This window comes from Homo sapiens, chromosome 4 (assembly GCF_000001405.40).
Source record: "Homo sapiens chromosome 4, GRCh38.p14 Primary Assembly".
NCBI lineage: Eukaryota > Metazoa > Chordata > Mammalia > Primates > Hominidae > Homo > Homo sapiens.
This window is the reverse complement of record NC_000004.12, coordinates 157,732,600-157,757,400: the sequence shown is the minus strand read 5'-3', so window position 1 is coordinate 157,757,400 and position 24,801 is coordinate 157,732,600.

Sequence of the window (24,801 nt, the reverse complement as noted above, 5' to 3'; positions counted from 1 at the left end):
AGGAGCTGGTATCATTTCTTCTGAAACTTTTCTGATCAATAGAAAAAGAGGGAATCCTCCCTAACTCATTTTATGAGGCCAGCATCATCTTGATACTAAAGCCTGGCAGAGACACAACAAAAAAAGAGAGAATTTTAGGCCAATATCCCTGATGAACATTGATGTGAACGTCCTCAATAAAATACTGGCAAACTGAATCCAGCAGCACATCAAAACATTTATCCACCCCGATCAAGTCAGCTTCATCCCTGGGATGCAAGGCTGCTTTAACATACACAAATAATAAATGTAATCTATCACATAAACAGAAACGACAAAAACCACATGATTATCTCAACGGATGCAGAAAAGGCCTTTGACAAAATTCAACAGCCTTTCATGCTAAAAACTCTCAATAAACTAGGTATCGATGGAACGCATCTTAACATTATGAGAACTATTTATGAAAAATCCCAGCCAACGTCATACTGAATGGGCAAAAACAGGCAGCATTCCCTTTGAAAACCAGCACAAGACAAGGATGCCCTCTCTCACCACTCCTATTTAACATAGTATTGGAACTTCTGGCAAGGGCAATCAGGCAAGAGAATGCAATAAATGGTATTCAAGTAGGAAGAGAGAAAGTAAAATTGCCTCTGTTTGTAGATGACATGATTTTATATTTAGAAAACCCCACCATCTCAGCCCAAAATCTCCTTAAGCTGATAAGCAACCTCAGCAAAGTCTCAGGATACAAAATCAATGTGCAAAAATCACAAACATTCCTGTACACCAATAACAGACAAACAGAGAGCCAAATCATGAGTGAGCTCCCATTCATAATTGCTACAAAGAGAATAAAGTACCTAGGAATCCAACTTACAAGGGATGTGAAGGACCTCTTCAAGGAGAACTACAAATCACTGCTCAAGGAAATAAGCGAAGACACAAACAAATGGGAAAACATTCCATGCTCATGGATAGGAAGAATCAATATCGTGAAAATAGCCTTACTGCCCATAGTAATTTATAGATTCAATGCTATCCCCATCAAGCTACCATTGACTTTCTTCACAGAATTAGGAAAAACTACTTTAAACTTCATGTGGAACCAAAAAAGAACCCACATAGCCAAGACAATCCTGGGCAAGAGCAAAGCTGGAGGCATCACACTATCTGACTTCAAACTTTACTACAAAGCTACAGTAACCAAAACTGCAAGGTACTGGGAAAAAAACAGATATATATACCAATGGAACAGAATGGAAGCCTCATAAATAACACCACAAATCTACCCCCATCTGATCTTTGACAAACCTGACACACACAAGCAATGGGGAAAGATTCCCTATTTAATAAATGGTGTTGGGAAAACTGGCTAGCCGTATGCAGAAAACTGAAACTCTTCCCCTTCCTTACACCTTATACAGAAATCAACTCAAGATGGATCAAAGACGTAAATGTAACCCCTAGGACCATAAAAATCCTGGAAGAAAACCTGGGCAATACCATTCAGGACATAAGCATGGGCAAAGACTTCATGTCTAAAACATCAAAAGCAATGGCAACAAAAGCCAAAATTGACAAATGGGATCTAATTAAACTGAAGAGCTTCTGCACAGCAAAATAAACTATCATCAGAGTGAATAATACCTACAGAATGGGAGAAAATTTTTGCAATCTATCCATCTGATAAAGGGCTAATATCAAGAATCTACAAAGAACTTAAATTTACAAGATAAAAGCTAACAACTCCATCAAAAATGGGCAAACGATATGAACGGACACTTCTCAAAAGAAGACATTTATGCAGCCAACAACCATATTAAAAAAAGCTCATCATCACTGGTCATTAGAGAAATGCAAATCAAAACCACAATGAGATACCATCTCACGCCAGTTAGAAGGGTGATCATGAAAAAGTCAGGAAACGACAGATGCTGGAGAGGTTGTGGAAAAATAGGAATGCTTTTACACTGTTGGTGGGAGTATAAATTAGTTCAACCATTGTGGAAGACAGTACGGTGATTCCTCAAGGATCTAGAACTGGAAATACCATTTGACCCAGCAATCCCATTACTAGGCATATAGCCAAAGGATTATAAATTATTCTACGATAAAGACACATGCACACATATGTTTACTGCAGCACTATTCACAATAGCAAAGACTTGGAACCAACCCAAATATCCATCAATGATAGACTGGCTAAAGAAAATGTGGCACATATACACCATGGAATACTATGCAGCCATAAAACGGGATGAGTTCATGTCCTTTGCAGGGACATGGATGAAGCTGGAAACCATCATTTTCAGCAAACTATCACAAGGACAGAAAACCAAACACCACATGTTCTCAGTCATAAGTGGGAGCTGAACAATGAGAACACATGGACACAGGGAGGGGAACATCACACACTGGAGGGCCTGTGGGAGGTGGAGAGCTAGGGGAGGGATAACATTAGGAGAAATACCTAATGTAGGTGACAGCTAGATGGGTGCAGCAAACCACCATGGCACGTGTATACCTATGTAACAAAACTGTACATTCTGCACATGTAACCCAGAAATTAAAGTAAAAAAAAAAAAAAGAAAAAAAAAGAAAAATGCTAAGATTTTCGTTTTTAGTTATCCAGATTTCACCCTCGTTATTAACCAATGTCTTAGATGCAGAGATATCTACTTTGACTATATATGTATATGTTTGGCATAAAAGATATACATATACTGAATATTATATTTTTATTAATATGTATTTTAATAATTATTTAAATTATGAAGTATATTTTATTTAATATTAAATTATTAAATATATTTTAATAATTATTTAATAATAAATATATATTTGTGAATAATATATATTTTATGCTGAATATATATTCAGCATAAAATATTTTTTACAATAAAATAATACATTGCCTTAGACTTCTGAGAAAAGAGGGGGGTCTTTGGAGAGAAATTTAATGGAATATTTGAAGTAATGGTACATAAGAAAAGAGTAAGTCAATAGTTCTTGAGAATATTGTTGCTCAAAGCTAGAGGCTCGTTAGGAGATATTCAGGTGAATCAACTGCTCTTGCACAGGAGGAAGATGGATGCAGGATACTCATCAGTAGCTTAAGGAAAATGTCAGAAGTGTGTTCCTCCCTTTCTACTGACTTAAGGGAATGGGCCATTAGAACTGGGATTCATAAGATTCTGTATTTATTGTTTCTTTCCTTTCTCCATTTTATACACAGCTTGAGAAGAGAGAAATGTAGCTACCTGTCTTTATGTATCTACCTATCTATCTATCTATCCATCTTTCTACATCTGTCTCTTTAATATCTATCATCTATTTACTTATAATGGTAATAAAAACTGTTTTTCAAGTCCTTGCTTTGATTGTGATTACTAAATACTGCTCAGATTTTGTTTTCATGACCATCTTCATTTTTTTCACTTAAGGTATTCTATTATTATTCTTAGTGGACAGTTGTTCATCACATTGGGTGATCTGCGGTCTCATATGTAAGATTATTATCTGAAATTCATTATGTAAGCAGAGGCAAAATAAAATTAGTTCTGATGGCATGCAGATGGTAAAAGTTTGGGAGTTGAAGCTGGTATAAATAAGAAATTACATATGGCTATGAAAAATTTTATTTCTTATTCATATTATGTAATGTGTCACATATTACCTAGTTCTCCTGATATTTCAAGTATGCATGTCCTGTTTCAAACAATTGAAATAATACTGATAATTACCATTTATGAAATGCTTAATAGTTGGGTTTATAGTAGGTGACTATATAAATAATCTCTAAATCTTTTTTTTTTTTTAAGATGGAGTCTTGCTTTGTCACCAGGCTGGTGTTGCCAGGCTGGAGTGCAGTGGCATGATCTCGGCTCATTGCAACCTCTGACTCCTGGGTTCAAGCAATTCTCCTGCCTCAGCCTCCCAAGTAGCTGGGATTACATGCATGTGCCACCACACCCAGCTAATTTTTGTATTTTTAGTAGAGACGGGGTTTCACCGTGTTGGCCAGGATTGTCTCGATCTCCTGACCTTGTGATCCATCTGCCTTGGCCTCCCAAAGTGCTGGGATTACAGGTGTGAGCCACCACACTCGACCAATAATCTCTAATTCTTATAACAAAAAAAGCAAGGGAGCCATTGCCACATTTACAGAGAGGAAGATGATATTTAGAGAAGTGTCTAGGCAAAGGCCAAACAGTAAGTGGTAGACCTAGAATTTGAACCTACACAAAACAGTCACTAATCAACTTTTTCTGTGCCCTTTGTGTTATCTCAAATAGATTGTAAATTTGGGGGTGGGGCGGTAGCAATTTTGCCTCATATCTGAGGCCATCCTTGCCTAATCTTTGAAAATTTTATCTCCATCCCCTCTTTAATTGTTAATAACTTACAAAGTGCTTATTATGTGCCAGGCACTGTTCTAAGTATTTCTTCAATTGTTAATTCATTTAATTCTTACGACAACTACACGAGATAGATATTATTACCATCCAAATCTGATAAAAGCAACAATGCACAGAAATAGAAGAGTCTCAGTATAATCGACTTGCAACTAAATGACTGGCCTGAGAGATTTCTGCCATCTAAGGGCTAAGTGTAAGTCTCTGCTATTAGCATGTGTGGCATTCAGCAGTATCTATACTGAATCCACTGTGTTGTTTACCCCACGTGGGACCTCCATCTCTGCCACCATGGTCGTTCCATTTATGAATCTTTCTCTTGTGTATGTAATAAGATTGTTGAGGGGAGAGACTCACTGATAACCAGAGGATGTCATCCCATCTACCTGGTTGTTGAGCCTGTCCTGTTTGGATGCTCTTTGGTGGGATTAATTTCAGACACATAAATTTTTACACTTAATTCTACTTCCATAGGTTCATTCAAATGCTTCTCTCCCAGACTTTGATCTTTTTATTACACTCTTTTTCAACCTCGGATTAACCAGCCAAGCCATTCATTACCTGAAATTGACAACCTTTCAAATCCCCTGATAATGGATTGGAGAAGTTTTCCCTAGCCTGGTATATATTCTCTCTAAAATACAAAGAGGCGTACCAAATGCTATTCCACTTAGTGAATTAGTGGTAGAGCAAGCAAGGTGCAATAACTTGTCCTTTAGCTAACATAGGATGTCCTGGTTTGCCATGGACTAATAACTTTACTGGATCTTCATATTTTCCAGCCTATCTTCAGCACGAATGTATTTGAAAAATGTACTTGCCATTTCCTGTCCATCTGGTCGATTTCTCATTGTTGTCATATGGTGGAAAAATGTGGTCCTCAGAAGAATGTTAAGATTATAAAAGATCATAAAATTTCTGGGAAGTGTAAATGATTGGATATTTATTTTCTATACTCTTAACAAAATGTTATTTGATTAAAAATAGTTTTACAGTTATATTATTCTCCCCAATGAGTCATAAATTTCTTGAGCACAAAAATACGTTTTATTTTTTATAACCACAGCTATTATTAAAATGTCTTCTTATTGTTACTATAAATGGTGAATTGAATTGAATAAAACTAGTTTAGTAATTTTGAAGACATGATTGAAATATATGACCTGGGTAACCTGGGGAAATGCTATGAAATTGAATTAATTAAAGAAAATATTTGATAATATCGCTGGCAGAAAAAGAAAAAAATGCATCAAGAGTGAGAAAGAAAAGGAAACTAAGAAATCAAATATTTTTTAGTGTGCCTGTTTTGCACTGACCATCTGTGCTTTGTGCAAGAGTCAGCAATGTAGTATGCTTACTTAAGGAGCAAACACCATTACTGAGATTCAGAAATAAGCCCAGGGCATTTAGGCCTGGCTAAGTCTTCAACCCTTGATAATTTTCTGTTGGTGCCAGAAAACACAGGGCATCATTTTCAAGTATATGTATAGTCAATTACATGGAATTACCATGAAGAAAGCATAGTTTAATTAAATTTAAAAAGAAATAAACAGAGTATTTCCACATATAATAATCAGTATCAGTATCATCCCTCTATATCATATCTGCTGCAGTTCTTAAAGAACAACCTCATTCCCATTATCATGAGTTCAAGAAAGCCTTTCCCATATTTTTAGTTCACTTTCTGGAATTTCATATATATATATATATATATATATATATAATTAGTTACATATATAATTAGTTACATATATAATTAGTTATATATAGTTATATATGTATATATATAAGTTATATATATATACGCACACACACACAGACGACAGAGCTCACCATGTTGCCCAGGCTGGTCTCAAACTCTTGGGGTCAAGCCATTTGCCCGCCTCTGCCTCTCAGAGTGCTGGGATTACAGACATGAGCCACCATGCCAGGCTTAGCTTATGTTTGAGCTAAACAGAGCATCACAGCATCTATTTAAAATGAGCCATTGCACTGTATCCCATAAATATTTACAATTATTGTGTGTCAAAAACAAAATAAAACTTAAAAAAATAAGAAACCAATCATGTCCTTGGATCAGAATGATACCAGTTTTTCATCTATAGGAGAATGGCTAGAATCAAGATAAAACCCAAATTTAGATAGGTCTTCAATGAAAAATATTTTGCTTCTTAGCCAAAATAATCTTAATTCTCTTCTAAATATCAAGTTCAGTATGTAAGTTTAAATAATACTAAAATCAAGCAAAGTTACTAAATATTCTTCTTCTTTTTTTTTTTGCTAAAGGTCAAGCTAGTGTTCTTTTTTTTAAATTATACTTTAAGTTTTAGGGTACATGTGCACAACGTGCAGGTTAGTTACATATGTATACATGTGCCATGTTGGTGTGCTGCACCCATTAATTCGTCATTTAACATTAGGTATATCTCCTAATGCTATCCCTCCCCCCTACCCCCACACCACAACAGGCCCCGGTGTGTGATGTTCCCCTTCCTGTGTCCATGTGTTCCCATTTTTCAATTCCCACCTATGAGTGAGAACATGCAGCGTTTGGTTTTTTGTCCTTGCGATAGTTTGCTGAGAATGATGGTTTCCAGCTTCATCCAGGTCTCTACAAAGGACAAGAACTCATCATTTTTTATGGCTGCATAGTATTCCATGGTGTATATGTGCCACATTTTCTTAATCCAGTCTATCATTGTTGGACATTTGGCTTGGTTCCAAGTCTTTGCTATTGTGAATAGTGCTGCAATAAACATACGTGTGCATGTGTCTTTATAGCAGCATGATTTATAATCCTTTGGGTATATACCCAGTAATGGGATGGCTGGGTCAAATTGTATTTCTAGTTCTAGATCCCTGAGGAATTGCCACACTGACTTCCACAATGATTGAACTAGTTTACAGTCCCACCAACAGTGTAAAAGTGTTCCTATTTCTCCACATCCTCTCCAGCACCTGTTGTTTCCTGACTTTTTAATGATTGCCATTCTAACTGGTGTGAGATGGTATCTCATTGTGGTTTTGATTTGCATTTCTCTGATGGCCAGTGATGATAAGCATTTTTTCATGTGTCTGTTGGCTGCATAAATGTCTTCTTTTGAGAAGAGTCTGTTCATATCCTTCGCCCACTTGTTGATGGGGTTGTTTCTGGATCCCTTCCTTACACCTTATACAAAAATTAATTCAAGATGAATTAAAGGCTTAAATGTTAGACCTAAAACCATAAAAACCCTAGAAGAAAACCTAGGCAATACCATTCAGGACATAGGCATGGGCAAGGACTTCATGTCTAAACACCAAAAGCAATGGCAACAAAAGCCAAAATTGACAAATGGGACCTAATTAAACTAAAGAGCTTCTGCATGGCAAAAGAAACTACCATCAGAGTGAACAGGCAACCTACAAAATGGGAGAAAATTTTTGCAATCTACTCATCTAACAAAGGGCTAATATCCGGAATCTACAATGAACTCAAACAAATTTACAAGAAAAAACTAAGTATTCTTCTATGAGTGGCAAAACTGGTTCAGATTTCTTCTTGGATTTGTCCTTTTATATTTTATTGAAATTTTACTGAAAATTTATTGAAAATTTCTATTTTATGACAACTCCAAGTAGTTAAAGTAAAACAAAGTACTTTAAAAATCTTAATGTATTATTAGTTTCTTCGTATTCCACTACATTCAACAGACAGCATCAGTATTCTCTGTTCCCATTTCACTTTCATTCTCCCCATAGGTAAAATGTATCCTAAATTTTGTTATTTGTATGCATATTTTATACATATCAAAAGTATATAAGCGTATATTTGTAAATGTTTTCATGCTCTATGAATTACAATGTTGATGTTTTCTCATTATAATACTGGCATTATGGATTCAGGGACAAAATATCATTGAGATGAGATGCTCTCTTTACCTCCTCATATCAGAATAGTCTCCATCACTGTAATCCATTGCCACTTTGTTTATGAGCCCATTGGTTAGGACATGGGTGACTGGGAAAGGGACTGTTTGATATTCCAGAATGATCATCTTATCCACATGATTATTAAGATTCTCCTTCTGTGGTTGCTCCTTGGTGAGCATATTCACATGGGAAACATATATCCTTATACTCTCTGACTTTGGTGTGAGTTCTCGTAATCTAGTGAATTTACACCCACCAAGGCAAATTTGACTATAAAAACTGCTGATTGACACATATATCAACAAATATATCAATAGCAGAGATCATCACTGGCCCTCATGACACCATTCTCTAGAATAACCATCAGATCACTTTGTGGCAGACTGGTTGCCCTGCACCACATTCATCGTGGAAGGAGCATCCTTGTATTATCAGTTGTTTTGTACATAAATTTGTCTTTTCTGCTCTCAATGTTTCTACTGAAATTGACGAGCTTGTCATTCTGTAAATGACATATTCATATTCTTGGTATTGTACATAGCGTTGCTTCTGACCAATGAACTCATTTTATAAGCAAAGGAATTAAGGTAATGAGATCATGATCATGAATTCAATGGTTTTACCATGTTCTCCATCAGTCTGAAGTACCTGAACAATTAGAACTGTGGAATGGCCTTTGGAATATTCACTTTGAAGATGCGCCAAGTTATTGACAACACTTTGCAGGGTCAGGGTTATATCTCTCTGGATGTGTTTTATAATTTAAATCAGTGATGAATAAAAGTGCTGTTTCTCCTATAGCCAGCATAAATGTGTCTCAGAATCAAGTGGTAGAAATGCTATTGATTCTTCTTATGTGTTTGCCTCCCATTTTTTTGTGCATTTGTGCTTTGCTGAGTTTGAAGTCTTAGTTTCCAAAAGAGAAATATTTTTCACCAGAAGACACAGCAAGATAATGAATCTGCAATCTGACCAATGGACATCAGGACAAAAAGAGGCTTAATATACTGGCTGGGGTGATTGACCCTCACTATCAAGAAAAATTATGTTGCTAGCATACCTGAATATGGAAATGGGTTTGGAAGTCAGAAAATGTCCTGGACACCTTTAATACCTTCATATTTCTCTGATAGAAATTGATAACAAACAACAGCAGCCCCATACAACCAAGCTGGTTAATGACCTTGACATTTCATGAATGAAGTTTTGGGTCACTGGGTCACCCCACCAGGGAAGGAACCATAACCAGCTTCAGATACTTGCTAAGGGCAAAAGGAATAAGGAATCATTAAGAAAGTGAACATTTCTAAATATCTGCTACTATCATGTATTTAGTTGCAAAAATAAGAACTGCATTTGTTATGAGGTCTTTGTTTTCGAAAATAATATATTTTAATATATATGTATATATGTAAAATATAAAATACATATTTGTATATATGTGATATTATGTGTATGTTATATATGTAAAATATAAAATAACATATTTGTGTATGTGCTAATTGTATTTATATGCATTATTAACACATGCACACATAATTTAATTAGGGTTACCTTAAAAGATATCAAAGAAAGATTGAGTCTCAGCTAGGAGAGGAATGAACATCATTCAAAGATAGATAAAGTGACATATGAGACTTTGTACTATATTAGGGTAAGAGTTAGCTGTTTTCAATTATAAGAGGAATTATTACACAGATGGAGGCATAATTATGTATTTGCAAATGTGTTCTAAAGAGTAATGTATGAGTGTCAATTTGTAAAGTAGAGAGCTGCAGTGGGTTTGTACTTTGTCAAAGTAGCTAAGCTAGAACTACCTTTCCCAGAATTCACTTTTCTCTATGGTTTCATATTAGCATTGGCTGCAAGAAAGAAATTTATGAGATTTAGAAGGCAGAAGTAAAGCAGCAGGTTAGTGTCTAGTCTTAGGCACTACTGAAGCATCTCCATGTTGGTGATACTTTGGTTGCTTCACCTTGATGTGATACAGTACTCATGCTCTGTTTTTGTAGCTTTTCCCAGATCTCCTCTGTTAATGGGGCTAAGCGCATTGTGAAAGGCACTGATTTCTTATTCATGTTACCTGTATCATCAAGATCAAATGCAGTCAGAGAAAAATGTGAGTTTGAGTTTGCCTTCATGGGTTCTAGCTTTTCATCTTGAATTCCAGTTTTTTCTTCTGGGTTCCAGGTTATCCTTGTGAGTACCATTTGTCATTGCTTTCTCCTGGTTTGTGTTCAGCTGTTCTTATCAACTACATAATCTATTGACAAATGGCAATATCAGGCTACTACCAGACTCAAAGGCAACAGCCTTTCATACACTTCTTCACCAGCTCCCCTTTGTTCTTCCTTCTTAATGACTATCCTTTGGTCATCTGACTCTACGTATCTAACTTACCCCACAGTTGTATAAGGTCAAATCATTATAAATTTCTTATTCCATAGCACTCATATTGGTTCTGCTTCCAAATTTCACTTTCATATATCTACCTGTTTATCTCACGTACTACCTGCTGCGTAATTTACTCAATTCTGCCTTGAAATTCACTAATTCTATATTTTCTGGCAATGTGCTATGAGACCATATGCTATTTTATATTTATCCATTTTAAATACTATATTGTTTTATTTCATTTTTATTATATATATCTATGTATGGTATATAACATGTTTATATATATAATATATATATAATTAAAAATATATATTTTAATATATATATTTAATTTTATTTATATATAAAATTTATATAATATATAAATTTTAATATATATATTATATATATATTAAAAGAGTTACTGTGGCCAAGCAAATTAACATATCCTTCACCTCACAATTACCTTTGTGTATGTGTATGTGTGTGTATGTGTGTGTGTGGTAAGGGCACCAAAAATCTAATCTCAGCAAATTTCGAGTATGCAAAATAACATTATTAACAATAGTACTCATGCTATACATTAGATTTTTAGATTTATCCATCCTACATAACTACAACTTTGTATTCTTTGGACATCTCATTACCACCCTCCCCACTCCTGGTAACCACCATTCTATTCTATGTTTCTATATGTTCATTTTTTTTTTTTAAGATTCCACATGTAAGTGAGAATATGCAGCATTTTTCTTTATGTATCTGGCTTATATCAATTCGGATAATGTCTTGCAGGTTTGCCTTAGTCTGTTTTCTGCTGCTATAACAGAATACTACAGACTGAGTAATTTATAAAGAATAGACATTTATTTAGCTCATTGTTCTGGAGGCTGGGAATTCCAAGAACATGGTGCCAGCTTCTGGTGGGGACCTCTATGCTGTGTTATCCTATGGCAGAAGAACAAGTGAGTGCACAAGACAGAGAGAGAAAATTGGGCCAAACTCGTTCTTTTTGTGAGGAATCACATTTGTGATAACTAAACCAGTTATCATAACAGCATTAATTCATTCATGGGAGTGGAATCCTCATGACCTAATCAATTAATAAAGGCTATATGTGCCAATACCATTATAACAACAATTACATATCAACATGAGTTTTGGAGGGGGGCATTCAAACCATAGTATGGTATATCCTTGTTTTCACAAAAAGAAGGATCTCCATTTTTTAAGGCAAAATTTTATCTATAGCCATTCATCCCTTGACAGACATTTAGATTGTTTCCACATCTTGGTTATTGAGAATAATGCTGCAATGAACGTCAAAGTGCTGATATCTTTACTCTGGTGCTAACTTTATTTTAGGGGGGTATATACCCAAGAAAGAGATTGCTGGGTCATATGGAAGTTCCATGTTTTATTTTTTTGATAAACATTTATCCTGTTTTTCCTAATGGCTGTACTAATTTACATTCCCACTAATGGTGTATAAGTTGCCTTTTCCTTCACACCCTCGCCAACATTTGTTATCTCTTGGCTTTTTGATGATGGCTGCCCTAACAGATTTGAGGTTATATCTCACTGTAGCTTTGACTTATATTTTCCTGATGATTAGTGATATTGAGCACATTTTTATCTGTTAGCCAGTTTTATGTCTTCTTTGAAGAGGTGCCTATTCAAGTCATTTGCTCATTTTTTTTAGGTGATATTTTTCGTTTTCTATTTTTTTCCCTTTGGCTATTGAATAGTGTGACTTCCTTACATGTTTTGGATATTAAACCATGGTATTTTTTCACAGAACAGGAAAAACAATTCTAGAACTCACATAGAACCACAAGTGACTCTGTATAGCCAAAGAAATCTTGAAAAAGAAAAGCGCAGTGGGAGGCATTAGGCTTCCTGATCTCAAATTTTATTACAAAACTTAGTAATCAAAATGACATAATGTTGGCATAAAAACAGTTACATAGAGCAATGGGACAGAATAGATAAACCAGAAATAAACCTAAGCATATATGATCAGCTAGTTTTCAACAAGGACACAAAGAAGACACAATGGAGAAAGAATAATATCTTCAATAAATGATACTGAGAAAACTGGATCTCCACAGACAAAAGAATGAAATTGGACTTTTACCCTACATCACAAACTCAACTCAAAATGGATTAAAGACCTGGATGTAAGTCCTGAAATTATAAAGCTGGAAGGAAACATAGGGGAAAATCTCCTTAACACTGGCCATGGCAATGATATTTTTGTATATTTTAGTAAAAAATTAGGCGACGAAAGCAAAATAAACAAGTGGAACTGCATCAAATTAACAGCAAAGTAAATACAGTGAAACAACAACAACAAAATGAAAAGGCAGCTTACATATTGGGAGAAAATATTTTTTAGTTTAAGAAATTTTATTATTCTAAGTTGTATTTTCTTACATTTTATTTTATTGTTTCTTCTGTAAATCTTTCCTTTTTTAACTTTGAATAATTTTAGATGTACCATTATATAAATTTCTTTTCTTTCTTTCTTTCTTTTTTTTTTTTTTTTTTTTTTTTTTTTTTTTTGGAGAGAAGGTCTAACTCTGTAACTCTGTCACATAGCCTGGAGTGCAATGGTGCAATCATAGCTCACCACAAATTTGAACTCCTAGGTTCAAGGAATTCTCCTGCCTCAGCTTCCCAAGTAGGTATGTGTCACAGTGGCTTGCTAATTTTTTGTTTTTTAAATTTTTTTTGGAGAAAGGATTTCCCTATGTTGCTGAGGCTGATCTTGAACTCCTGACTTCAAGCCATCCTTCTGCTTCAGCCTCCCAAAGTGCCAGGATTACAGGTGTGAGCCACTGTACCCGGCCTGTATAATATATTTCTGATTGTTAATCAGGTTGTTAATCTGGCTTTTGTTGTGTCTACTGACACTCCTTTGTTAGAAATTCTTGTGACATTTTAAGTTTTGAAATGTGAAGTCTTCTTAGATCTTTTCCAGTGGAAGTTGTTTGATGAGGTTCAGGATATGCTACTCCAAAATGTGGCACATTGGCATATTGAAGATTTTAAGCTGAAGGAATTTGAGAAACAAAAGGCAGATGCAGAAAGGAGTCTCTGACTTTCCTTCTTTCTCCCTTCTCCCCTTAAGTGGGTCATAGGACCCTCATGTAAGAGATTCCCTCCCAATACCTGGAGGAAAGGAGCATCCTGTCTCTAAAGATGGAAGGATGTCAAGAGAGATCCAAATCCAAAAGAGCAAGGATTGCTAAATTTTCCCCAGTTTTTTACTCTTAGCTCATGCCCTGTTTGTCCTACCATATTTTTCCAGGACTTTCCACTCTTCATCAAACCTAGTATAAAAACACTCAGGTTTAACAATTTCTTTGGGTCTTCGTTGTTTTATGAAGGCCCTTGTGTTATGTAAAACTTTTAAATTTTTATGCTTTTCTCTTGTTAACCTTTTGTAACAGAGACCTTCCTGATAATCAAAAAGAGTAGAAGAAGAATACATATTTTAGTACGTAGTATATATTGTCTAGCATCCTCACTAAATTTTACTCTTAAGTCTGAAATTATTTACATGTGTAGGAATTTGAATGCATAATTACTTTTTCAAGCATGGACTGTATAATTCAATAAGGAGAAGCAAGTTACTTTTAGATCTAGATATTATTAGCTAATTTTATGAGATTTAACTATTACACCATATTAAATTAAGCTCTGACCATAAACAAAATTTTATAAAATGTAAGACTTTTAGCATTTTGGATATCTATACTTTTATATTCCAATGTATTTCATTTATTATGCTTTAATAAGATTTTAAGTAGAATGTGAGTCTCTTTTAACTTGAGCTTACTGTGTGTGTCTTGGTAAGTGATTTAATATTTCTGAGACATTACCTCATAGGAATAACAAATTCAAATACAGAAAATGAATCGAGTTGGGGCCTAAATCCTAATGAAGAAGTATGTACCTGCATAATCACATTGAATGCAGAAGAGATTTCATTCACATTTTAACTGAACAAAAAAATCATTACTTAAAATCATATATTGTTTTTTAAAAAATTATTGACTACAGTAGTTGCCATTTTCATTTTTCATTTTCAGTAGTTGCAGTTTCATTTTCCATGGTTTTTAGACTACCCTGGTAGTCTGAAAAAATTACATAGAAAATTCAAGAAATAAACACTTTACAAATTTTAAACTGTATGCTGTTCTGAGTGTCATGGTGAATTTACATCATGCAGCTCCATCCCACCACCAACGTGCATCATGCCTTTGTCCAATGTATCCATGCTGCATATGTTAGTCATTCAGTAGTTATGGGTTATCAGATTAGCCTTCAAGATATCACAGTGCTTGTGTTCCAGTAACCGTTATTTTACTTAACGATCTTAAAATACAAGACTAGTGCTGCTGGCAATTTGGATATGTCAAAGAAAAGCCACGAAATACTTTTTTAAATGAAAATGTCAAGGTTCTTGACTTCATAAGGAAAGAAAAAAATTGTATGCTGAGGCTTCTAAGATTTATGGTAAGGAAGAAAATCTATCCATGAAATTGTGAAGAAAAAGAAAGAAATTTGTACTAATTTTGTTGTCACACCTCAAACTGCAAAAGTTACAACCGCAATGTGTAATCAGTGCTTAGTCAAGATGGAAAGGACTATTAAATTTGTGGGTGGAAAAGATGAACAGAATGGTGTTTTAATTGCTGGCAATTGTATTGTTAGTTCTATCTGTGGTTTCAAAACTCCACTGGGGTCTTGGAATGTTTCCCCCAAAGATAAAGGGGGACTACTGTACTTAGTATGTGTCAAGAAGTGTGCTAGATACTGGGAATTCACTGGCAAAGAAAATATGACGTATTTTCTACCCTTATGACTCACACAATAGTGGAAAATATGAGCACCTAATGATACAATAACAGAAAAAAATATGAAATTACAACTGAGTCATAAATTCAAAAATGGAATAAACACAGGAGCTCTAAGAGTAGATGGTAGAGAGATATAGCCTAATCTGTAGAGTCAAGAAGTGCTTCCCTGAGGAAATGCTGCTGGAGGAAATATTTTTTAAAATTAGCTAGAAGAAAATGAGAGGCAATTGGGAGTGGTGGTGAATGTTTGGAAGATGGAACAATAGCAATTGATACATCTTTAACTTCAGGGAGTTGAGAAAAGGGCAACACACTTAAAGCTTGCTGAGTATAAGGGGACCATGATGCATGATGGGGTTTGGAAATAGGTGGGACATGTATCATGCAGGATTTTGAGGCCATAATGAGAGTTTTGGCTTTTCATGTAGGAATCATTGAAAATTTCACAGGTGCACATAGGCAAGGGAGTTTTCAAGAAAGGCTTCTATTTGAAAATGACTATTCTTTTCATCTTTGGTGTCTAATTTATTGTTAATCTCATCTTAAATATTTTTATCTCAGGTACTGCATTTTTCATCTCTAGGTGTTCAATTGCATCTTTAAAAATATCTTTCATGTTTTTCTATAAAATGCATATTTTTCCTTTTCCTCCTTGATTATATGTAATATATTGGTGATAGTTTTTTTTTAGCATCATTGTCTTCTAAACCTACATGTGTCTAAATCTATATGTGTCATTCTTGAGACTGTTTTTAATGACTGCTTTTTTATCTCATTAGAGAACTTATTTTTTTTCTATTTTGTACCTTCCCTGCAATTTTTAATTGAATGCTATATACATTGACGATTTTGCTTTGTTGAGTGCTAGAATTTTTGTATTTCTTTATACGTTTGAATTCTTTTCTGGAACACAGTTAAGTTACTTAGAAACAACTTGATGATCTTTTTAAGGCTGAGTTTAAGCTTTGTTAAGCAAAATTCAGAGTAACATCTTAGTCTAAGGTTAATTTGGCCCCACTACTGAGGTAATACTTTTCTGAGGACTCTATTTGATGCCCCATGTGTTAGGAGGCTTTTCCACTCTGGCTCATGTGAACAGGAACCAATCCCAGTCCTTTATGAATTCTGGAGCTTATTACTCTTGTATCATTTCTGGTGGTCTTTGCCTGGCCTTGTATAGTTTCCTCACTGGAAGCTCTGTCCAGATAGTAAGCATGGGCAATTATAAGGCTCATCACTGCCCTGGTCTGCCTGTAATCCTATATTTAAAAATAATGTTTCATATATTTACTTCCCTCAGTTGTTTAGAGTGGGCTAAATTTTGGGTAGGAAGGTGAATTAAATGCCTGTTAATGCATTAATACCTGAAAAGAAATGGGAAGCAGATTTCAGATATTAAATCTCGCTATTGTGTGTGCGTAGGATATTTCAAAATGTTTGATTTCCACCTCTTCTAAAAGAATGTAATCTCTATGAGGGTAGAGACTTTGTATAGTTTTCTTATTGCCATGTACACAGACACTGTAATAGAGTCTAGCGTATAGTAGGGGCTCAGTGAGTAAAACTGAATCTATTTTGCATGTGGGCCTCAATTTGATGGGATTAACAATAAAGTAGATACCATAGATGAAAATAATATATATATATATACACATACACACACACACACTTATTTTTGTTTTATACTAAAAATTTTTAACTTTCTGCTAAATAACATATCAACTGATTTTATCTTCTCAAATTTATTCTTCACCAAAACCACAGCTATCAAAATATACAAATTATCAGAAATTGTGAGATTATTAATTTCTAAGTATTATCTTCAAACTTTCACTTAAATGTTTTTATTCTTTTTCAGTATTTCTCAAAAATTCAACAAAATTTAGCCTATTAAGTCACTAAGTCACAGGTGTATCGAATTAGCTTTGCTCAAGAACTGGTAATAATTTTTCCTACCAATTGAGAAGCGGGAATTGCTATTGTCGTTCATTTTCTGTTCCTAGTTTCATCTCAGTGGCTAAAATTGCCTGGTCTAAATATGTCTCAATTTGATGTTATTGCTATACTTCAGTGAAAAATAAGCAAACAAAGAAACAAGCTAAATAAATACAATTAAGATAGAAATTTCTTTAATATTATTCTAGAAAATTGTCAAATGAGAAAAGCTACTTTTACTGCTGATCAGAATATTGCTGTGAACTGGAAGATTAAAAAATTATAGGAACTCCTATTACATGAGTTGTGGAGAGGAAAATAAATACAACCAAACCAAGTCTCTTTGGGAAGTAATTGTGTCATTTACTAGGGAAACTAGCCTGGTAAACAATTTCTGATGAGTAACGTATTTTTAAATATATCTTTCTTTGAGACAGGATCTCTTTGCTCTGTTGCCCAGGCTGGAGAGCAGTGGCAAGATCATGACTCACCACAGCTTCAGCCTCCTGGGCTTTAAGCGATCCTCCCACCTCAGCTTCCCAAGTAGCTTAAATGAATATATGTTTATAATATTTTTGGTAATTGAATTACTTTCTCTGGTATTGCATTGAGTATATTCTTATTAATATAGTGTTTGACTATAAGTAAAATATGAACAAATTTGATACCAGACAATGAAAACTGTGACATGATTTTCACATGCATCATTTCTGATATAGGTGAAATAAAATTCCTATTATTATTTCTGAAATTTTTGAAAAATTATTATTTTTAAAACTTTGAAAGAGCATTATTGGTCCTACTGAGAATAGTACAAAAACTTCCTTTCCTATTTCATGGTTATTCTTTTCCAGACTTACTGTGCTTACAGAGCCTAACTCCAAGTCAAGAAATAAAATGAATAATTCTTTATTATCATAGATAAATCCAAGTTTCAGGAAAGTCACATAAAAGGCATATTCATAGCAAAGATATACAATTTATTCATGGTCACCAAGTTAAGGGCAGTATAAAATATTTATTAAGTATTGTAAGTTTTTGTTTGTTTAAAAAATGTACATGTTCTCTTGAATTGAGAAATGTTCTCCATTGGGCTTAAATACATATAAAATGGAAAACATAGAACATACAAACATTGACATATACTGGACCTAAAGGCATCCTGTCATTGGGTTTGGGCTCAATATCGATTGATTTAGATACTTTCTAAGTGCTCATATATTTTCCTATGGTTAAAGCTTGATCCTGTTCTTTGGTCAATTAGGAATTTTTTTTGGAAGTACAGGTAACTATGGTGTCAGAATTAGTTGATGTCTTTTTAAAATTAAACTATACTTCTCCAGTAAGAAATTATGTTATATAGATACTACTGTGTTATATCATAAGAATATTATATACATTCTTAAAATCATAAATATTTAAGAGTTTTCATTAAATATTCCTAGTATGAAATAAAATGTAAATGATGTCTTAACTTATATGACAAGCTCTTGGATGATGATATGGTTTGGATCTGTGTCTCCACTCAAATCTCATGCTGAACTGTAATCCCTAATGTTGGAGGTGGGGGTGGTGAAAGGTGATTGGATCATGGGGGCAGATTTCCTGCTAGGTGCAGCTCTAGTGATAGTGAGTGAGTGCTCAAGAAATCTAGTTGTTGAAAAGTGTGTGGCACCTCTCCATTCTCTCTCTTCCTCCTACACCAGCCATGTAAGATGTGCCTGTTTCCCCTCACCTTCCACCATGCTTTTGTTTCCCGAGGCCTCGCCTGAAGCCGAGCTGATGCCAGCATCATGTTTCCAGTACAGCTTGCGGAACTGTGAACCAATCAAACTGCTTTTATTTACAAATTACCCTGTCTCAGCTATTTCTTTGTAACAGTGTGAGAACCAACTAATACAGATAATATATTTTTTGTAGTAATTTTAAACCACTCATAACAAATTAAGGCATTCTTCTAAGAAACATATGTTTAAATTAGTAAACCCATCCGAAACACACAGTTCTTTTGACCTCAGATTATGCATTAATCAAGCTTCAATTCTTGCAACTTTTCAACTTACGACATGATTTCCTGGCTAAAAATGTTTTTTAAAAATACCTTTTTCTTAGACCTTTTTCTTAAAAATATAAGCAATTTCAACATACAGAATAACATATAAATTAATGTATTCTACATCATATTTTATTAAATCTTAATTTCAGATTTCATGTGTATATATTCATAAGCCCTACCTAGAATTGTTTTGAGATTTTTAGGTTTTATTTTTTATTTTATTTATTTTATTATTTTATTTATTTATTTATTTATTTTTGAGACAGGGTCTCGCTCTGTCACCAGGCACCCAGGCTGGAGCACAGTGGCATGATCTTGGTTCACTGCAACCTACATCTCCTGAGTTGAAGTGATTCTCCTACCTCAGCCTACTGAGTAGCTGGTATTACAGGCAATCGCCACCACACCCAGCTAATTTTTGTATTTTTAGTAGAGATGGGGTTTCACCATGTTGGCCAGGCTGGTCTTGAACTTGTGATCTCAACTGATCCACCTACCTCAGCCTCCCAAAGTGCTGGGATTACAGGGAGAAGCCACTGCACCCACCTGAGATTTTTAGGCTTTAAATGACTGCTGTTATACTACCTATCTTTTTGGCAACTTACTTTGATCTATGTGTGTTCTTTGACTAGGTAATGTTGATATATGCCATTCCATTTCATTCATTTAAATTGTAGCATAGTATTTGATTAGAGGATTTAAAGAAATAAAAGATCTATCCATTTTTAACTTGATGAGCATGTAGTCCTTTTTCTGTTTTTCAATTAAAATGTCACAGTTAACATTGAATACTAGTATAAATATGTGTGAGACTTTCTCTTGGTTGTGGATGTACAAGTAGAGTTTTTGGTTGGTAGAATATTTTTCATCTACAATATTATTAGATGTTGTCAAGATGCTTTCCAGAATAGTCTACCATTTACACTTCCATCAAGAGTGTATGAGAATCCCCATCACTGCGTTATCATTAATATTTGTTAATATAAAACATTGATATTTTGCCAATGTTCATGCTCTAATAATAGCTCATTGATATTTTAATTTTCATTTCCTTAATTACTACTGGAAATGAGAATCATATCATGTCCATTAGACATTTTGACAAGATTTTCAATAAATTTCCTATTGTAGTACTTATCGTCACTGAATTAATTTATAAGTTTTTAAAAATATATTCTGGATAACCATCCTTTATCTTAGCTCAAATGCAAAGTAAATAGCTTCTTCAAGCATATCCACTATTTTTGCTACAGGTATTTTTTTTGTTGTGCAGATTTTCTTTTTACTTTTTGTTTTGTTATTCTTATCATTTTTAAGAAATTGGTTAGTTTTAAGTGTTCAATATGATATTCTTTTATATAGATACGTAGCTATGTGATCATCTACTTGACCAAGGTATAGAAAATTTCCAGTACCTTACAAAGTTGACTTGTGCCTATTTTCCATCAGTACTTCCATCAACCTCTAGAAGTAACCAATATATTGATTACCACCATATATTATATTCCTCTGTTCTTGAATTTCACATAGCTGAAATCATGCAATATATACTAGTCTACATCTAGCTTCTTCCACTTAACATTCGGTCTGTGAGAGGTTCATCCACATCATTGCATGTAACTGTCATCTTTTTCTTTTTCATTGATGTGGTAGCTTAGGAACCAGGCAATAACTTATGTTGTATTTGTAAGCAGATTTTTGTGCTTCTTTCTGTATTGTCCTCTTACATTCAGGACTTTGCCCCTTATTTTCAGCTACTTTTGTCTTCCCAGGTCTCTGACCTTGGTTTTTCCTGACAATACGACCACAGCCTTCTTCTTGGGTTCTCAACTCCTGCAGGAAAAACTTGGAAATGGCCTCACGAAAATGACAGGGCTTATGTGAATTTCACTTCCTGTGCTTCTCTTCTTTCAAGAATAGTAACCCCTTAGTTACTTCCTACATTTTCCACTTCCTTCAGACTATTTTCTTCTATTTTGTACCATTTGAATAATTGTTTTTGACAAGAAAGTTATTTTGATACCAGCCATTCTATTATCTCTGAATTATGGAAGACCCTGTCTGTGTAAATGTTTTAAATTGCAGTGTGGTTAATTTTTCTTATCTTTTCCTTTCAGATGATTTGTGTCTTCTTAAAAATGCAGTCTAACTGTGGACTCGTAAACACATTTAAACATTTTTTATATAATTTTTTTAAGATTGTGCTTTTTTGTTTTAAACTGTGACTGAGCTGGATCCAATTCTTGTATATATGTTTTATTTGGATGTAATTTTTTTCTCATATAAACAGTTGCTTGAGCAAATGATTTATTAAATAGTGGATAGGCTATATAATTCTGCTTAAATATGCATAGAAAGTATTATGTATTAATAGAGTAAATTTTTTAAATATGCATTTCAATTACATTTATTGTGATGTTTATTATGCAAGGCACTGTGATGAGTACAGCAGAGCCTGTAACTGCATTTTTGGGGCTGGATTGTGTTAAATCAGAATATTCAAATTCTAAAGTAATGCCCTATCACTGAGGAATCACTTTGGCTCTATTTGAATGATGCAACCTCTTTATGGGTCAGGGTTCTTCAGAGAAACAGAACCAATAGGATAATAGATATGTTTGCAGGTACATATATATGTATGTGTGTACATACAGGTTTAGTTAGTATCCCTTATTTAAATTTAGGACTAGAAGTGTTTTGAATTTTAGATTCAATTTTTAAATTTAGAAATATTTGCATATGCATGAGATATCATATGTATATGCAAATATCTTAGAATGAGACCCAAGTCTAAACAGAAAACTTATTTTATGCATTATATATATATACATATATACTGAAGGTAATTTTATATGAATATATATGCATTACTGAAGGTAATTCGTATGTATATATACATATGTACTGAAGGTAATTTTACACAGTATTTTAAATAATTTTGTGTAAGAAACAATGTTTATGTACATTGAACTAACAGAAAGCAAAGGTGCCACTATCTCAGCCACCCATGTGGATAATCTGTGATTGTCTGGCATCACTGTTATTCCTGACTCTGAGTTTATAAGTTACCAATAACTATTTTGTTACACTTAAGTACTTAACAGTAAAAAATATATACCTCTAATAAAGTTAAAAACAATGTGTTCAGCGTAACTAAGCAGTGCAGTAGCATCACCAGATACTTGTATCAGCTGTTAAACAACAGAACAACAAACATGGCCAGCTTTTAGTCTTCATCCACTATGGTGTGTTTTGATGAAAAGGTTACTCTAAACTGTATTTTACTTTTTAGGTGAGAAGAAACATGAGAAGCAGCTGAGAGACTAGGAAGTGAATCCTCTAGGGATGACTAGGCATTCTGCTAGGTGGCTTTTTAAAATGTTTCCTCCAGAGTCATCTGCCTAACTAATAGCAGTTTTCTGGTCTCAAAAGTCTCTCTTTGATTTTATAAACTGCAGTCATTTCTTATTATGTTATGAATGAACACAGCTTTAGTACTTCAACAAGCCCATCACATATTTTCAATATGTTGGAGTGGAAATGGAAGTGGCGGTGAGTGGTGCCATTTCAACTTCTACCCCTTGACTCATGGACCCGTGAATCCTACCTACGGGAGAAACAACACCATGTATTGGACGATGATTTAAAGCATACGTGGCTTTCTAGAGAACTTTGCCCCAACCATGCAAAGTATTTATCACCTTGGACTCATCTGTGGTAATTTCCCCGGTGCCAGAATGCATAATTGGCTGAGACATACTTAGTAGCTGGCAGAACCCCCACATTGGCTCCCTGACTGGTAGGGTGAGGGCTATTATGGCAGGAAAGGACAAATGGAAGCCATTAGAGCTGCCTCTACCTAGAAGAATAATAAATCAAAAACAATACTGTATCCCTGGAGGGATTGTGGAGATTACTGCCTGCCACCATGAAGGACTTGAAAAACGCGGGGTGGTGATTCCCACCACATCCCTGTTCAACTCTCCCATTTGGCCTGTGCAGAAGACAGATGGATCCTGGAGAATGACAGTGGATTATCATAAACTTAACCAAATGGTGACTCCAGTTGCATCTGCTGTAGATGTGGTTTCATTGCTTTAGCAAATTAACACATCTCCTGGTACCTCGTATGCAGCCATTGACTTGTCAAATGCCTTTTTCTCGTTTCCCATACATAAGGCCCACCAGAAGCAATTTGCCCTCAGCTGAAAAGGCCAGAAATATACCATTACTCTCCTACCTCAGAGGTATATCAACTCTCTGGCTTTGTGTCATAATCTTATTTGGAGAGAGCTTGATCACTTTTTGGTTCCACAAGATATCACACTGGTCCATTACACTGATGAAATTACATTGATTGGATGCAGTGAGCAAGAAGTAGCAAACATACTGGACTTATTGGTGAGACATCTGTGAGCCAGAGGATGGGAAATAAATCTGACTAAAGTTCAGGGACTTTCTACCTCAGTAAAATTTCTAGGGGTCCAGTGGTATGGGGACTGTCGAGATAGTCCTTCTATCTTGACAGGCTCCACACCAAGGATAAGTGATAAAGTAAAGCACAGGTTGCTGCATTTGGCCCCTTCTAAAACCAAGAAAGAGGCATAACACCTAGTGGATCTATTTGGATTTTGGAGGCAACACATTCCTCATTTGGGTATGTTACTCTGGCTCATTTATTGAGTGACCTGAAAGGCTGCCAGTTTTGAGTACAGTCCAGAACAGGAGAAGGCTCTGCAATGGGTCCAGGCTCCTGTGCAAGCTGCTCTGCCTCTTTGGCCATATGACCCGGAAGATCAAATGGTGCTTGAGGTGTCAGTGGCAGACAGGGATGCTGTCTGGAGCCTTTGGCAGGTCCCCATAGGTGAATCACAGTGGAGGCCTTTAGGATTTGGAGCAAGGTCCTGCCATCTTCTGCAGATAACCACTCTCCTTTTGAGAGACAGCTCTTGGCCTGTTACTGGGCTTTGGTGGAAACTGAATGTTTGACTATGGGTCATCAAGTCACCATGAGACCTGATCTGCCTATCATGAACTGGGTGCTTTCTGACCCATCTAGCCATAAAGTGGATTTTGGACAGCAGCATTCCAACATCAAATGGAAGTGGTATATATGTGATCAGGGTCGAGCAGGTCCTGAAGTACGTAAGGCACAGGTAAATTACTTGAGGAAGTGGCTCAAATGACCACGGTCTCCACTCCTGCCACTCCTGCCACCCTGCCTTCTCTCCTTCAGCCCACACCAATGGCCTCATGA